The sequence below is a fragment of the Homo sapiens genome, chromosome 8 (assembly GCF_000001405.40).
Source record: "Homo sapiens chromosome 8, GRCh38.p14 Primary Assembly".
Taxonomy (NCBI): domain Eukaryota; kingdom Metazoa; phylum Chordata; class Mammalia; order Primates; family Hominidae; genus Homo; species Homo sapiens.
In genome coordinates this window covers 7,742,164-7,757,567 of record NC_000008.11, presented here as the reverse complement: position 1 = coordinate 7,757,567, position 15,404 = coordinate 7,742,164, and the positions used below count along the sequence as shown (strand labels likewise).

General features: G+C 53.9%; 2 protein-coding genes and 1 pseudogene across 2 annotated transcripts; all 3 read right to left on the bottom strand.

The window, feature by feature from the left end:
- Positions 1-15,404, bottom strand: part of LOC124901865 (translation initiation factor IF-2-like) — a 451,468-nt pseudogene that overhangs the window by 307,624 nt on the left and 128,440 nt on the right.
- On the bottom strand, positions 876-3,886 carry FAM90A19 (family with sequence similarity 90 member A19). Its single transcript, NM_001164449.1, has 4 exons — positions 3,764-3,886; positions 3,070-3,269; positions 2,503-2,611; positions 876-1,838 (listed from the first exon to the last, which is right to left on the bottom strand). The coding sequence occupies exons 1-4, from the start codon at positions 3,884-3,886 to the stop codon at positions 876-878; spliced, it is 1,395 nt and encodes a 464-aa protein (NP_001157921.1).
- FAM90A17 (family with sequence similarity 90 member A17) lies at positions 8,524-11,534 on the bottom strand. The gene is made up of 4 exons (NM_001397391.1): positions 11,412-11,534; positions 10,718-10,917; positions 10,151-10,259; positions 8,524-9,486 (listed from the first exon to the last, which is right to left on the bottom strand). The coding sequence occupies exons 1-4, from the start codon at positions 11,532-11,534 to the stop codon at positions 8,524-8,526; spliced, it is 1,395 nt and encodes a 464-aa protein (NP_001384320.1).

The window sequence follows — 15,404 nt, the reverse complement described above, 5'->3', positions numbered from 1 at the left end:
TGTTGTTTTGACCTTCCCCTTATTATCACCCTGCTCCCCTACTGCATTCCTTTGTGCTGAAATAATGAAAATCATAATCAATAAAAACTGAGGGAACTCAGAGGCCGGTGCCGGTGCAGGTCCTAGGTGTGCTGAGTGCCGGTCCCCTGGACCCACTGTTGTCTCCCTATACTTTGTCTCTGTGTCTTATTTCTTTTCTCCGTCTCTCATCCCACCCGACTAGAAACACCCACAGGTGTGGAGGGGCAGGCCACCCCTTCACTTGGAAAATCAGTTACACACAAACACGGAATGAGAGTCAAAAGACAATATGTCATCTTTTTGAGAATTTTATTCACTTCAAAACCCATTAAACACACATATGTACAAAGGCATTCCAGAGCCCAGTTTTCGAGGCTGAGGAAAGACCCCGAGAGCGCTTCGCACAGCACGCTTCCCAGCGTCCGAAACACTGCTCTCAGGGCGGGGCACAGCGGAAGGGCTGCACCTCTCAGGGTTCCCTAACTTTTCCCTTATTCAGTCATCTAGAGAGCAAATACACAGTAATTCCCCAGTTTCCTATTGACGTCCCAGCGGAAGTCTGACTCCTGCGCGTCACGCAGTTTCTGAGGCAACGAATCTCTGGCACGGAAGCTTTTCCTGGCGCGTTTCCGGAGAACCACGCCAACTACAACGTCCCTCACCAGAATTCAATGAGGCAGAGTCCCTGCATCTGCTCCCTGCCTGGCCTGGGCTCCCACATCCACAGAAGCGCCACAGCCGGGGAGCTTCGGAGTCACCGCACAGAGTGTGCTCTCTGCTCTGCGCTCCTCAGTCCCACAGTCCCCTCCAAGTCACGGGAGCTGGAGGCCAAGGAGCCCCTGCCACCTGCAGTCTCACTCCAGGTCAGAATCGCTGTCCTCTGAGGAGGAGGAAACCTGAAGGTCCTCATAGAGGACGCTCGGTGGGACACGAACACAGGGAGCCTCAGACTTCTCTGACACATGAGGGCTCTGAGCGAGGAAGGCTCCCGGCTTCTCAGGAGAGTGAAATGAGGGGGCCGCCAGGAGGCTGGAGCTCCAGCGTCCGTTTTCCAGTCTCCGGAAGAGCACTCTGAGAGGCTGGGCCCCATCATGGCTGGCCGCTGAGTGATGGGACATGGTGCAGGCCTGGGCAGTAGGCAGGCAAGGTGTGCTGTGCGGAGGCTGCCAGTCGACGCTGGGCACCTGGGCCGGTGTCCTCCTGCCCATCTGGGGCGACGTACTTGGTCCAAGTTCGGTTGCGGCTGGCGGAGGTTGGAGATTCCCCGGGGCCCCCAGCTCACCTCCCTGGATGGCGCTTTCGGGGATCTGGAAGGGACCCAGTCTCGGTTTCTTGGGGAATTTCAGGCAAGCCTGAATCGGAGCCTGGGCAGGTCTCTTGGCTCCTGGCCCGAAGCTGAGATTGGAGCCTAGGCCCAAGCTGTGTGTGGCGGCTGGCGGGCAGGGCTGCGAGGTCACCGCAGGACGTTTGTCTTGTGCCTGGGGTCTGGCGGCCTGGAGCAGGCCGTGGGTTTTGGAGGCAGCCTGGGGAACTTCTCGGCAGCCACCCTCGGGGCTGCTGTGTGTCGGCTTCACCACGAGGAGAGGCTCGCGGCCCTGGTGCCTGACTGCAGGCTGAGGCATGTCGGCCGCAGCCCCTGTCTGTCTTTCCTTTGGTCCAAGACTTGAGGAGGAGCTCAGGCTGGCTTTTCTGAGGGGAGACAGTGAAGCCAAGACGGAGCCCCTGCCAGACATTTCGGCAGCTGAGCGATCAGCGAGGACAGGGTCCACGCGCGGCCTCTTACTGGTTGTGTGGACCGGCATTGGCCCGCTTGCAACCTGAAAGAGAGGAAACAACACAGGTTAGAAGTTCCTCAGCATGGAGCCAACGTGAAAATCAAGCACATCCAAAGACAAGGTGCACACGCCATGAAATTCTTAGTACAGTATCGACAGGCGGTCCTTGGAAGTAGGGACAGACCCTCCACCTGAGTGCTGATCAGGACAAGACACATGAAAGATGCGCTCTCGAGCTATGTGTAGCTGATCTAAGCACACCATTGTTCAAAAGATCGCGTCTTGGGCATTAACTGGATCAAAGCGCCTCCACTCAGCCTTCCATGAAGTGGAACGGACTAATGCCCTTCCCGAGGCAGGTTGCTGGCTCAAGGGTACTCGGGACGTCTTCTCTGAACACATGCATGTTCCTGGGTTTCGCCTTCTCCACGTTTGGGGCCTCTGAGGGACTAATTTCCTCATGCCGCTAGGAACGTGTTGTTGGCAGGCTTGCCATAATTGGACAGAAAGAAAGCCACAGGAAATACGGCATCTTCAGATGCCTTCGCCTGGAATCCAATTGACCTGGAAGGATCGTGGAGTCCCTGACCCCAAGAAGGCAAGAAAGAGGGGTTCCCCGATTTCCTCCCGCAGACGGGAAGCTGAAAGGAAATCAACCAGGGTGACCTAGAGGAGAAAAGGACCAGGGGCCCGGGGTGACACTCACCCTCAGATGATCAGAAGACTCCGTGGATCCTTTTCCATTCGGCAGCGGCTTCTCTGGAGGTTTCCCGGAAAACATGTGGAGGAGAGCCTTCCTCTGCGGGTCTTGTTGCCTGCAGAACAGAAAAAGGTCAGGCCGTGCCCCCTGGTTTTCCCCAGGAGACAGGGAGAGCCCCGTCTGGGGCCCAGCCCCATTCCGTGTTTTGTGATACAGAAATGGACATCTGGTGCCCTTTCCGCCTCTGCACCTTCCCTCACGTGCCAACCTTCCCATCCTCCAGGTGGCCCTCTAGGCTTCCGAACTAAGGACTGTGATTTGGATTCCATCGCTTTTCCCCCTGTCGTGGGGAACCTGCACGAAGCGCCCCCGCCTCTCCCCGTCCCTGAATCTCCCAGAGCCCAAGGAGCTCCTGGGTGTGGAACCCCGGAGGACACGGAGCTCCGGCCTATTTCTCTGCAGCGCTCCTTCCCTGGCCCGGAGACGGAAAGGCACACGGTGTGCAGGTGCAGAGACACCATGTCCTTAGGAGGCAGCATCCTAAGAGTGGTGAAAACCCCTCCCACTGCTCACCTTGGTCTCTCTTCCTTCTCTCCCTTATCCTTGTTCAAGGGCCCCGGGTTGGCTTCAACCCGGGGCTTCCATGGTTTCAGGTTTTCCTTCCCTTCCTTTTTCCCCAAGGTCGCTGGAACCAGGGCTGCCTTCCAGCACTTCATGGGGCACCTGGTACTTCTGGCCGTGTGGCCAAAGGCCCCGCAGTTTTTGCACTTGAGCTGTGGGTGGAAAGGAAGTGATGTCAGTGAGTGAGCTGAAGCCACAGGCAGCGATCCCACGTCAACATTGGGACGGATTGTGAATTCAGAGCTGAATAAGGATTCCAAAGAGGGGACACCGGCATGGGGGCCGTTAAGTGCCGGGAGAGTTCGGGTACGATGTTCCCTCGCAAAGCCCATGGGACGGAGGAACTCTGAAAGGAAGGACTCAAGGTTCCAAGGGGCACGATGGTGAAGCCGATGTCAACAACGCAGCCAAACGTGGCTACACAGGACTCTAAGTAGAAAGGGAGGTTGCCCCCAAGAGTCTCTCAAGGGACCTATCGGGCCGGGGAGAAGGTCCCAAGCCACGCCCACCTTGGATGGGAAAAGCAACCTGGCTGGTGGTGACAGAACTCTTTGGAATCCAACCCAGTCTCTGAGGACCGTGGGACACCCCCTCCCCCCGTCCCCACCCCCACCCCGATACCCAAGAGATCCAGGGCTAGACTTACCCTGGGATCTTCTTCATCGGGCGGGGGAGCCCTTGGCCCAACTGGGGCCCTCCGCTGCTTCTGGAGGGTCTGGGCTCTCACCAGTCTCTTGGCCCAAGATTTGGGGTCCCGACGTGCCATCATCTTCGTCTCCTGGGGGTTTTATGACCGCCTTTTTCAGGGGTGGACTGTTGGGCCACCTGAAACACACACAAACACACACATGTCGATGGTTAAGCACGTTGGATATTCACACACCCACAGGAAGCCACCTGCTAACTCCCTGCCTGTGTGGTCATGAGGAGACCTCACCACCAGTGGGTCAAATCTGTAGAACACAATGTGCTGTGCGCATCCTCGGATATTGTGTGTTCCTCTGCCATGACTACCTAGTCCAAGAGTAAACCCCACCTGCCACAGGGCCCGTGGCCTAGGTATGGGGGGTTGAGCTTTCAACCCCAAACAAACAACTGATTCTGGAGACTGGACTTAGGTCTCTCACGGTTCACTCCGGTAGAAGACACGGTGATTCTATCTCCCTTGACGGACAGAATGATCGAAGACACAGGGCATGGCGTGTGCCACCCTTTGGCAGGTCTGCTTGAAGTCACGGATAAGGGATGCTTCCTGTGATAACTTGAATCGCTACTCTTGCCATTTCATTAGGCAACTTCCAAACACAAATTCATACAGAGAAGTTACCTTCCTCTCTACCGCACTAGCAGGTGATGATCTTTCCTGTTCTATCTTTTGGCTTTAGCTCCAGCCCCTCTTTATTTATTTTCCTGGTATTTTACGCATACCACACGAATTCATCTGAACAAACGGGGAAGAAGTGCCGTATCGTATCGACGTCTTACACGGCTGAAGGGCAAACCCCCCTTTTTTCCAAAGTCCTTTTTCCATTTACCCACCAACTCAGCATGCTGCAGTACATTTCTTTTCGCATTCCCATCTTGGTCTTCTCCCACACGTGGAGACGGATATGTTGTCTCGTTTTCTGTTCCAAGAATTACTAGTAACGAGAACACATCCTACCCCACCAGCAAGCCCCAGTGTGATCGGTTTCTTTCGGCCTCCTTTGTCTCTTCCTCCCCCCGCCCCTCCCCGCCAAAACCACTCAGGGATTGCGTGAAACAAACAATTGTTCAGCGAAACTAACCTGAAATTACACGTCTACTTTCTTTCCCAGGCTGGCGCTGAGATGGGCAGGTGCTGCAGCAGCCCCGCTGGAAGCGATGCAGCATCCAGGACGACGGAGGAAGGGGCGGAGAGGGACCTCTGCTTTCCAGGCTGCCTTTTATACTGCCTCTGGTCACCTGACATGGAACGTACCCTAACCTAATCAGTTACCTGTACCTTAATTGCAATTAACTTAATCCAATTACATGACCTGGAAAGGTCTATCTGCACAGCCCACTCTAAGATCATGTCCACTGCTGACAGACATTCTAAAACCTACTTGTACAGCTGCAAGCTTTGAACAATAGATGTTCCCCGTCAGACATGTAACACTGGTGCCTGTACCCCTGTCTTCTTTTCCATCTTTTCTGTTGTTTTGTTTTGTTTTGTTTTAAAAAATGTGGTAAAATAGACACCTTTTAATTGGACCACATTTTGTCTATCTCGACGTAGGCCTCAGTGTCATCAAGGAGACTCTGCTTGACATGCAGTCACGGCCATGATCCATCTTCAGAGCTTCTCTTTCTTCCCCAAGGTAAGTCTGTCAGCAGAGAACCCTGACCGCACCCTCATGTGTTTTCTCCCCCAGGAGGCGCTTGGAAACCACCGTGAATTGGACCGCACTGGGAAACACAGATGAGGAAAGTCAACAACGCTTTGTCCTTCAGTGCCTGGCTCCTTTTTCAGCTCGTCTTGCGACTCCAGGCATTATGCCTGAAAAGTCTCCCGGACGCCTGTGAGGCTGTAATTCCCTGGGTCCCATTGCCATGTCTCTGGATTTGCGAAGATCCACCGCACCTTCTGTGGAACTCCCGTGTCGGTGAACTTTTGTGCCACGGCCCCTAATTCTGCCCATGGTCATCCGCACCTGCACGACTTAGGGTCCATGTTCCTTGGACGGGAAGAGACAGGCAGGAGTCGGAATGATGAACCAGCACACTGGGGCGTTTTCTCATGTAGCCCAAGTGACCCCATGGTCTTCTCGAGCTTTGGAACCAGTCGCGTCCCCTTTGACACTGCACCCGGCTCCCAGTCTCTCAATCTTGTTGGCCCTCCGGCGATCTCCCGTTGGATGGATTGCTCCTGCTGAAACTCGAGTCCCCTTTGATTTGCGCTTCATTAATTATTCATGATTCAGGTTCGAAGGCCTGCTGACGACCCCCTGTGGCCGTTCTCTGAGCTTTCCTGTCACATCGTTTCCTTCCACGCTCTTTGGTTCCTTATGGTCCTGCTCCTTCTGCTGTCAGAGGAGCAGAGAGTTGATCTTATTCATTCTGGATACGGATACTTTCTAGTTGATCTGGATAATCAAGATAACGACCCTCAACAGCGGCGGAGAGGGAGCAGCCAGTTGGTGTGTCTCAGAAAATCCCGCTGAGTTCCGAGGCCTCCTAGATGTGGAATCCTGCTGAGAGTTGTTCCCAGGTCAGAGAATGGAGAGAGCCTGTGCATGATGGGATATCCCCGCCTAGATCTTTCAGTGAGTCTCTGCCTCAGCTACTCTTAGGATCAGGGGGAGAACCATGGTGTCAGACATCCGGAAAGAAGACGGGATGAATGTTTTACCTCTGAAGTACATCCCAAATGTGGGAGTTAACTTCAGCTTTGCTGGGGTCTATTTGGCCAGTGAAACTCTGCCTGGTTCCTTCGCACATCCGGAAGCCACTTCACGGGGGGCCGTCGCAACTGGAACCACACACTTGGCATCGGCGGTTGAGCCAAATGGGGACTCGTGGTGCAAGCAACGCTCCCCACGTGTTAGCGTGCGTGAGATTCGGTTGGCGGAATTTTACTAGGTGCGTGTTGGTAGAGTGGGGCTGAGGTTTTCTTGCTCCTGTGGATGTATAGGAAGTCAAAGGTCCTGCCCAGCCCTGCGGTCCCCTCAGTCAACTCTGTTTCGGAGACGTAACGATTTGGATTGCCAACAAGTCAAGAAATGTTCAAGCCCTTGGATGTAGGGTAAAGAAAGAGAGATCAGACTGTCACTGTGTCTATGTAGAAGGGGAAGACATAAGAGACTCCATTTTGAAAAAGACCTGTAGTTTAAACAATTGCTTTGCTGAGATGTTGATCATTTGTAGCTTTCCCGCAGCCCCTTCCTTTGACCCAACTTGGAGCTCACAAAAACCTGTGTTGTATAAAATCGAGGTTTAAGGGATCTAGGGCTGTGCAGGACGCGCCTTGTTTACCAAATGTTTACGAGCAGTATCCTTGGTAGGAGTCATTGCCATTCCCTAGTCTCAATAAACCAGGGGTGCAATGCACCGTGGAAAGCCACAGGGACCTCTGCCCTTGAAAGCAGGGTATTGTCCAAGGTTTCTCCCCATGTGACAGTCTGAAATATGGCCTCGTGGGATGGAAAAGACCGGACTGTCCCCCAGCCTGACACCCGCAATGGGTCTGTGCTGAGGTGGATTAGTCAAAGAGGAACGCCTCTTGCAGTTCAGATGGAGGAAGGCCACTGTCTCCTGCTTGCCCCTGGGAACTGAATGTCTCGGTGTAAAGCCCGATCGTACATTTGTTCAACTCTGAGCTCGGCGAAAAGCTGCCCTGTGGCGGGAGGCGAGACATGCTGGCAGTAATGCTGCCTTGTTATTCTTTACTCCGCTGAGATATTTGTGTGGAGAGAAACATAAATCTGGCCTACGTGCACGTCCAGGCATAGTACCTTCCCTTGAACTTAATAATGATATGGATTCTTTTGCTCACGTGTTTGTTTTTTGTTGTTGTTTTGACCTTCCCCTTATTATCACCCTGCTCCCCTACTGCATTCCTTTGTGCTGAAATAATGAAAATCATAATCAATAAAAACTGAGGGAACTCAGAGGCCGGTGCCGGTGCAGGTCCTAGGTGTGCTGAGTGCCGGTCCCCTGGACCCACTGTTGTCTCCCTATACTTTGTCTCTGTGTCTTATTTCTTTTCTCCGTCTCTCATCCCACCCGACTAGAAACACCCACAGGTGTGGAGGGGCAGGCCACCCCTTCACTTGGAAAATCAGTTACACACAAACACGGAATGAGAGTCAAAAGACAATATGTCATCTTTTTGAGAATTTTATTCACTTCAAAACCCATTAAACACACATATGTACAAAGGCATTCCAGAGCCCAGTTTTCGAGGCTGAGGAAAGACCCCGAGAGCGCTTCGCACAGCACGCTTCCCAGCGTCCGAAACACTGCTCTCAGGGCGGGGCACAGCGGAAGGGCTGCACCTCTCAGGGTTCCCTAACTTTTCCCTTATTCAGTCATCTAGAGAGCAAATACACAGTAATTCCCCAGTTTCCTATTGACGTCCCAGCGGAAGTCTGACTCCTGCGCGTCACGCAGTTTCTGAGGCAACGAATCTCTGGCACGGAAGCTTTTCCTGGCGCGTTTCCGGAGAACCACGCCAACTACAACGTCCCTCACCAGAATTCAATGAGGCAGAGTCCCTGCATCTGCTCCCTGCCTGGCCTGGGCTCCCACATCCACAGAAGCGCCACAGCCGGGGAGCTTCGGAGTCACCGCACAGAGTGTGCTCTCTGCTCTGCGCTCCTCAGTCCCACAGTCCCCTCCAAGTCACGGGAGCTGGAGGCCAAGGAGCCCCTGCCACCTGCAGTCTCACTCCAGGTCAGAATCGCTGTCCTCTGAGGAGGAGGAAACCTGAAGGTCCTCATAGAGGACGCTCGGTGGGACACGAACACAGGGAGCCTCAGACTTCTCTGACACATGAGGGCTCTGAGCGAGGAAGGCTCCCGGCTTCTCAGGAGAGTGAAATGAGGGGGCCGCCAGGAGGCTGGAGCTCCAGCGTCCGTTTTCCAGTCTCCGGAAGAGCACTCTGAGAGGCTGGGCCCCATCATGGCTGGCCGCTGAGTGATGGGACATGGTGCAGGCCTGGGCAGTAGGCAGGCAAGGTGTGCTGTGCGGAGGCTGCCGGTCGACGCTGGGCACCTGGGCCGGTGTCCTCCTGCCCATCTGGGGCGACGTACTTGGTCCAAGTTCGGTTGCGGCTGGCGGAGGTTGGAGATTCTCCGGGGCCCCCAGCTCACCTCCCTGGATGGCGCTTTCGGGGATCTGGAAGGGACCCAGTCTCGGTTTCTTGGGGAAGTTCAGGCAAGCCTGAATCGGAGCCTGGGCAGGTCTCTTGGCTCCTGGCCCGAAGCTGAGATTGGAGCCTAGGCCCAAGCTGTGTGTGGCGGCTGGCGGGCAGGGCTGCGAGGTCACCGCAGGACGTTTGTCTTGTGCCTGGGGTCTGGCGGCCTGGAGCAGGCCGTGGGTTTTGGAGGCAGCCTGGGGAACTTCTCGGCAGCCACCCTCGGGGCGGCTGTGTGTCGGCTTCACCACGAGGAGAGGCTCGCGGCCCTGGTGCCTGACTGCAGGCTGAGGGATGTCGGCCGCAGCCCCTGTCTGTCTTTCCTTTGGTCCAAGACTTGAGGAGGAGCTCAGGCTGGCTTTTCTGAGGGGAGACAGTGAAGCCAAGACGGAGCCCCTGCCAGACATTTCGGCAGCTGAGCGATCAGCGAGGACAGGGTCCACGCGCGGCCTCTTACTGGTTGTGTGGACCGGCATTGGCCCGCTTGCAACCTGAAAGAGAGGAAACAACACAGGTTAGAAGTTCCTCAGCATGGAGCCAACGTGAAAATCAAGCACATCCAAAGACAAGGTGCACACGCCATGAAATTCTTAGTACAGTATCGACAGGCGGTCCTTGGAAGTAGGGACAGACCCTCCACCTGAGTGCTGATCAGGACAAGACACATGAAAGATGCGCTCTCGAGCTATGTGTAGCTGATCTAAGCACACCATTGTTCAAAAGATCGCGTCTTGGGCATTAACTGGATCAAAGCGCCTCCACTCAGCCTTCCATGAAGTGGAACGGACTAATGCCCTTCCCGAGGCAGGTTGCTGGCTCAAGGGTACTCGGGACGTCTTCTCTGAACACATGCATGTTCCTGGGTTTCGCCTTCTCCACGTTTGGGGCCTCTGAGGGACTAATTTCCTCATGCCGCTAGGAACGTGTTGTTGGCAGGCTTGCCATAATTGGACAGAAAGAAAGCCACAGGAAATACGGCATCTTCAGATGCCTTCGCCTGGAATCCAATTGACCTGGAAGGATCGTGGAGTCCCTGACCCCAAGAAGGCAAGAAAGAGGGGTTCCCCGATTTCCTCCCGCAGACGGGAAGCTGAAAGGAAATCAACCAGGGTGACCTAGAGGAGAAAAGGACCAGGGGCCCGGGGTGACACTCACCCTCAGATGATCAGAAGACTCCGTGGATCCTTTTCCATTCGGCAGCGGCTTCTCTGGAGGTTTCCCGGAAAACATGTGGAGGAGAGCCTTCCTCTGCGGGTCTTGTTGCCTGCAGAACAGAAAAAGGTCAGGCCGTGCCCCCTGGTTTTCCCCAGGAGACAGGGAGAGCCCCGTCTGGGGCCCAGCCCCATTCCGTGTTTTGTGATACAGAAATGGACATCTGGTGCCCTTTCCGCCTCTGCACCTTCCCTCACGTGCCAACCTTCCCATCCTCCAGGTGGCCCTCTAGGCTTCCGAACTAAGGACTGTGATTTGGATTCCATCGCTTTTCCCCCTGTCGTGGGGAACCTGCACGAAGCGCCCCCGCCTCTCCCCGTCCCTGAATCTCCCAGAGCCCAAGGAGCTCCTGGGTGTGGAACCCCGGAGGACACGGAGCTCCGGCCTATTTCTCTGCAGCGCTCCTTCCCTGGCCCGGAGACGGAAAGGCACACGGTGTGCAGGTGCAGAGACACCATGTCCTTAGGAGGCAGCATCCTAAGAGTGGTGAAAACCCCTCCCACTGCTCACCTTGGTCTCTCTTCCTTCTCTCCCTTATCCTTGTTCAAGGGCCCCGGGTTGGCTTCAACCCGGGGCTTCCATGGTTTCAGGTTTTCCTTCCCTTCCTTTTTCCCCAAGGTCGCTGGAACCAGGGCTGCCTTCCAGCACTTCATGGGGCACCTGGTACTTCTGGCCGTGTGGCCAAAGGCCCCGCAGTTTTTGCACTTGAGCTGTGGGTGGAAAGGAAGTGATGTCAGTGAGTGAGCTGAAGCCACAGGCAGCGATCCCACGTCAACATTGGGACGGATTGTGAATTCAGAGCTGAATAAGGATTCCAAAGAGGGGACACCGGCATGGGGGCCGTTAAGTGCCGGGAGAGTTCGGGTACGATGTTCCCTCGCAAAGCCCATGGGACGGAGGAACTCTGAAAGGAAGGACTCAAGGTTCCAAGGGGCACGATGGTGAAGCCGATGTCAACAACGCAGCCAAACGTGGCTACACAGGACTCTAAGTAGAAAGGGAGGTTGCCCCCAAGAGTCTCTCAAGGGACCTATCGGGCCGGGGAGAAGGTCCCAAGCCACGCCCACCTTGGATGGGAAAAGCAACCTGGCTGGTGGTGACAGAACTCTTTGGAATCCAACCCAGTCTCTGAGGACCGTGGGACACCCCCTCCCCCCGTCCCCACCCCCACCCCGATACCCAAGAGATCCAGGGCTAGACTTACCCTGGGATCTTCTTCATCGGGCGGGGGAGCCCTTGGCCCAACTGGGGCCCTCCGCTGCTTCTGGAGGGTCTGGGCTCTCACCAGTCTCTTGGCCCAAGATTTGGGGTCCCGACGTGCCATCATCTTCGTCTCCTGGGGGTTTTATGACCGCCTTTTTCAGGGGTGGACTGTTGGGCCACCTGAAACACACACAAACACACACATGTCGATGGTTAAGCACGTTGGATATTCACACACCCACAGGAAGCCACCTGCTAACTCCCTGCCTGTGTGGTCATGAGGAGACCTCACCACCAGTGGGTCAAATCTGTAGAACACAATGTGCTGTGCGCATCCTCGGATATTGTGTGTTCCTCTGCCATGACTACCTAGTCCAAGAGTAAACCCCACCTGCCACAGGGCCCGTGGCCTAGGTATGGGGGGTTGAGCTTTCAACCCCAAACAAACAACTGATTCTGGAGACTGGACTTAGGTCTCTCACGGTTCACTCCGGTAGAAGACACGGTGATTCTATCTCCCTTGACGGACAGAATGATCGAAGACACAGGGCATGGCGTGTGCCACCCTTTGGCAGGTCTGCTTGAAGTCACGGATAAGGGATGCTTCCTGTGATAACTTGAATCGCTACTCTTGCCATTTCATTAGGCAACTTCCAAACACAAATTCATACAGAGAAGTTACCTTCCTCTCTACCGCACTAGCAGGTGATGATCTTTCCTGTTCTATCTTTTGGCTTTAGCTCCAGCCCCTCTTTATTTATTTTCCTGGTATTTTACGCATACCACACGAATTCATCTGAACAAACGGGGAAGAAGTGCCGTATCGTATCGACGTCTTACACGGCTGAAGGGCAAACCCCCCTTTTTTCCAAAGTCCTTTTTCCATTTACCCACCAACTCAGCATGCTGCAGTACATTTCTTTTCGCATTCCCATCTTGGTCTTCTCCCACACGTGGAGACGGATATGTTGTCTCGTTTTCTGTTCCAAGAATTACTAGTAACGAGAACACATCTTACCCCACCAGCAAGCCCCAGTGTGATCGGTTTCTTTCGGACTCCTTTGTATATTCCTCCCCCCGCCCCTCCCCGCCAAAACCACTCAGGGATTGCGTGAAACAAACAATTGTTCAGCGAAACTAACCTGAAATTACACGTCTACTTTCTTTCCCAGGCTGGCGCTGAGATGGGCAGGTGCTGCAGCAGCCCCGCTGGAAGCGATGCAGCATCCAGGACGACGGAGGAAGGGGCGGAGAGGGACCTCTGCTTTCCAGGCTGCCTTTTATACTGCCTCTGGTCACCTGACATGGAACGTACCCTAACCTAATCAGTTACCTGTACCTTAATTGCAATTAACTTAATCCAATTACATGACCTGGAAAGGTCTATCTGCACAGCCCACTCTAAGATCATGTCCACTGCTGACAGACATTCTAAAACCTACTTGTACAGCTGCAAGCTTTGAACAATAGATGTTCCCCGTCAGACATGTAACACTGGTGCCTGTACCCCTGTCTTCTTTTCCATCTTTTCTGTTGTTTTGTTTTGTTTTGTTTTAAAAAATGTGGTAAAATAGACACCTTTTAATTGGACCACATTTTGTCTATCTCGACGTAGGCCTCAGTGTCATCAAGGAGACTCTGCTTGACATGCAGTCACGGCCATGATCCATCTTCAGAGCTTCTCTTTCTTCCCCAAGGTAAGTCTGTCAGCAGAGAACCCTGACCGCACCCTCATGTGTTTTCTCCCCCAGGAGGCGCTTGGAAACCACCGTGAATTGGACCGCACTGGGAAACACAGATGAGGAAAGTCAACAACGCTTTGTCCTTCAGTGCCTGGCTCCTTTTTCAGCTCGTCTTGCGACTCCAGGCATTATGCCTGAAAAGTCTCCCGGACGCCTGTGAGGCTGTAATTCCCTGGGTCCCATTGCCATGTCTCTGGATTTGCGAAGATCCACCGCACCTTCTGTGGAACTCCCGTGTCGGTGAACTTTTGTGCCACGGCCCCTAATTCTGCCCATGGTCATCCGCACCTGCACGACTTAGGGTCCATGTTCCTTGGACGGGAAGAGACAGGCAGGAGTCGGAATGATGAACCAGCACACTGGGGCGTTTTCTCATGTAGCCCAAGTGACCCCATGGTCTTCTCGAGCTTTGGAACCAGTCGCGTCCCCTTTGACACTGCACCCGGCTCCCAGTCTCTCAATCTTGTTGGCCCTCCGGCGATCTCCCGTTGGATGGATTGCTCCTGCTGAAACTCGAGTCCCCTTTGATTTGCGCTTCATTAATTATTCATGATTCAGGTTCGAAGGCCTGCTGACGACCCCCTGTGGCCGTTCTCTGAGCTTTCCTGTCACATCGTTTCCTTCCACGCTCTTTGGTTCCTTATGGTCCTGCTCCTTCTGCTGTCAGAGGAGCAGAGAGTTGATCTTATTCATTCTGGATACGGATACTTTCTAGGTGATCTGGATAATCAAGATAACGACCCTCAACAGCGGCGGAGAGGGAGCAGCCAGTTGGTGTGTCTCAGAAAATCCCGCTGAGTTCCGAGGCCTCCTAGATGTGGAATCCTGCTGAGAGTTGTTCCCAGGTCAGAGAATGGAGAGAGCCTGTGCATGATGGGATATCCCCGCCTAGATCTTTCAGTGAGTCTCTGCCTCAGCTACTCTTAGGATCAGGGGGAGAACCATGGTGTCAGACATCCGGAAAGAAGACGGGATGAATGTTTTACCTCTGAAGTACATCCCAAATGTGGGAGTTAACTTCAGCTTTGCTGGGGTCTATTTGGCCAGTGAAACTCTGCCTGGTTCCTTCGCACATCCGGAAGCCACTTCACGGGGGGCCGTCGCAACTGGAACCACACACTTGGCATCGGCGGTTGAGCCAAATGGGGACTCGTGGTGCAAGCAACGCTCCCCACGTGTTAGCGTGCGTGAGATTCGGTTGGCGGAATTTTACTAGGTGCGTGTTGGTAGAGTGGGGCTGAGGTTTTCTTGCTCCTGTGGATGTATAGGAAGTCAAAGGTCCTGCCCAGCCCTGCGGTCCCCTCAGTCAACTCTGTTTCGGAGACGTAACGATTTGGATTGCCAACAAGTCAAGAAATGTTCAAGCCCTTGGATGTAGGGTAAAGAAAGAGAGATCAGACTGTCACTGTGTCTATGTAGAAGGGGAAGACATAAGAGACTCCATTTTGAAAAAGACCTGTAGTTTAAACAATTGCTTTGCTGAGATGTTGATCATTTGTAGCTTTCCCGCAGCCCCTTCCTTTGACCCAACTTGGAGCTCACAAAAACCTGTGTTGTATAAAATCGAGGTTTAAGGGATCTAGGGCTGTGCAGGACGCGCCTTGTTTACCAAATGTTTACGAGCAGTATCCTTGGTAGGAGTCATTGCCATTCCCTAGTCTCAATAAACCAGGGGTGCAATGCACCGTGGAAAGCCACAGGGACCTCTGCCCTTGAAAGCAGGGTATTGTCCAAGGTTTCTCCCCATGTGACAGTCTGAAATATGGCCTCGTGGGATGGAAAAGACCGGACTGTCCCCCAGCCTGACACCCGCAATGGGTCTGTGCTGAGGTGGATTAGTCAAAGAGGAACGCCTCTTGCAGTTCAGATGGAGGAAGGCCACTGTCTCCTGCTTGCCCCTGGGAACTGAATGTCTCGGTGTAAAGCCCGATCGTACATTTGTTCAACTCTGAGCTCGGCGAAAAGCTGCCCTGTGGCGGGAGGCGAGACATGCTGGCAGTAATGCTGCCTTGTTATTCTTTACTCCGCTGAGATATTTGTGTGGAGAGAAACATAAATCTGGCCTACGTGCACGTCCAGGCATAGTACCTTCCCTTGAACTTAATAATGATATGGATTCTTTTGCTCACGTGTTTGTTTTTTGTTGTTGTTTTGACCTTCCCCTTATTATCACCCTGCTCCCCTACTGCATTCCTTTGTGCTGAAATAATGAAAATCATAATCAATAAAAACTGAGGGAACTCAGAGGCCGG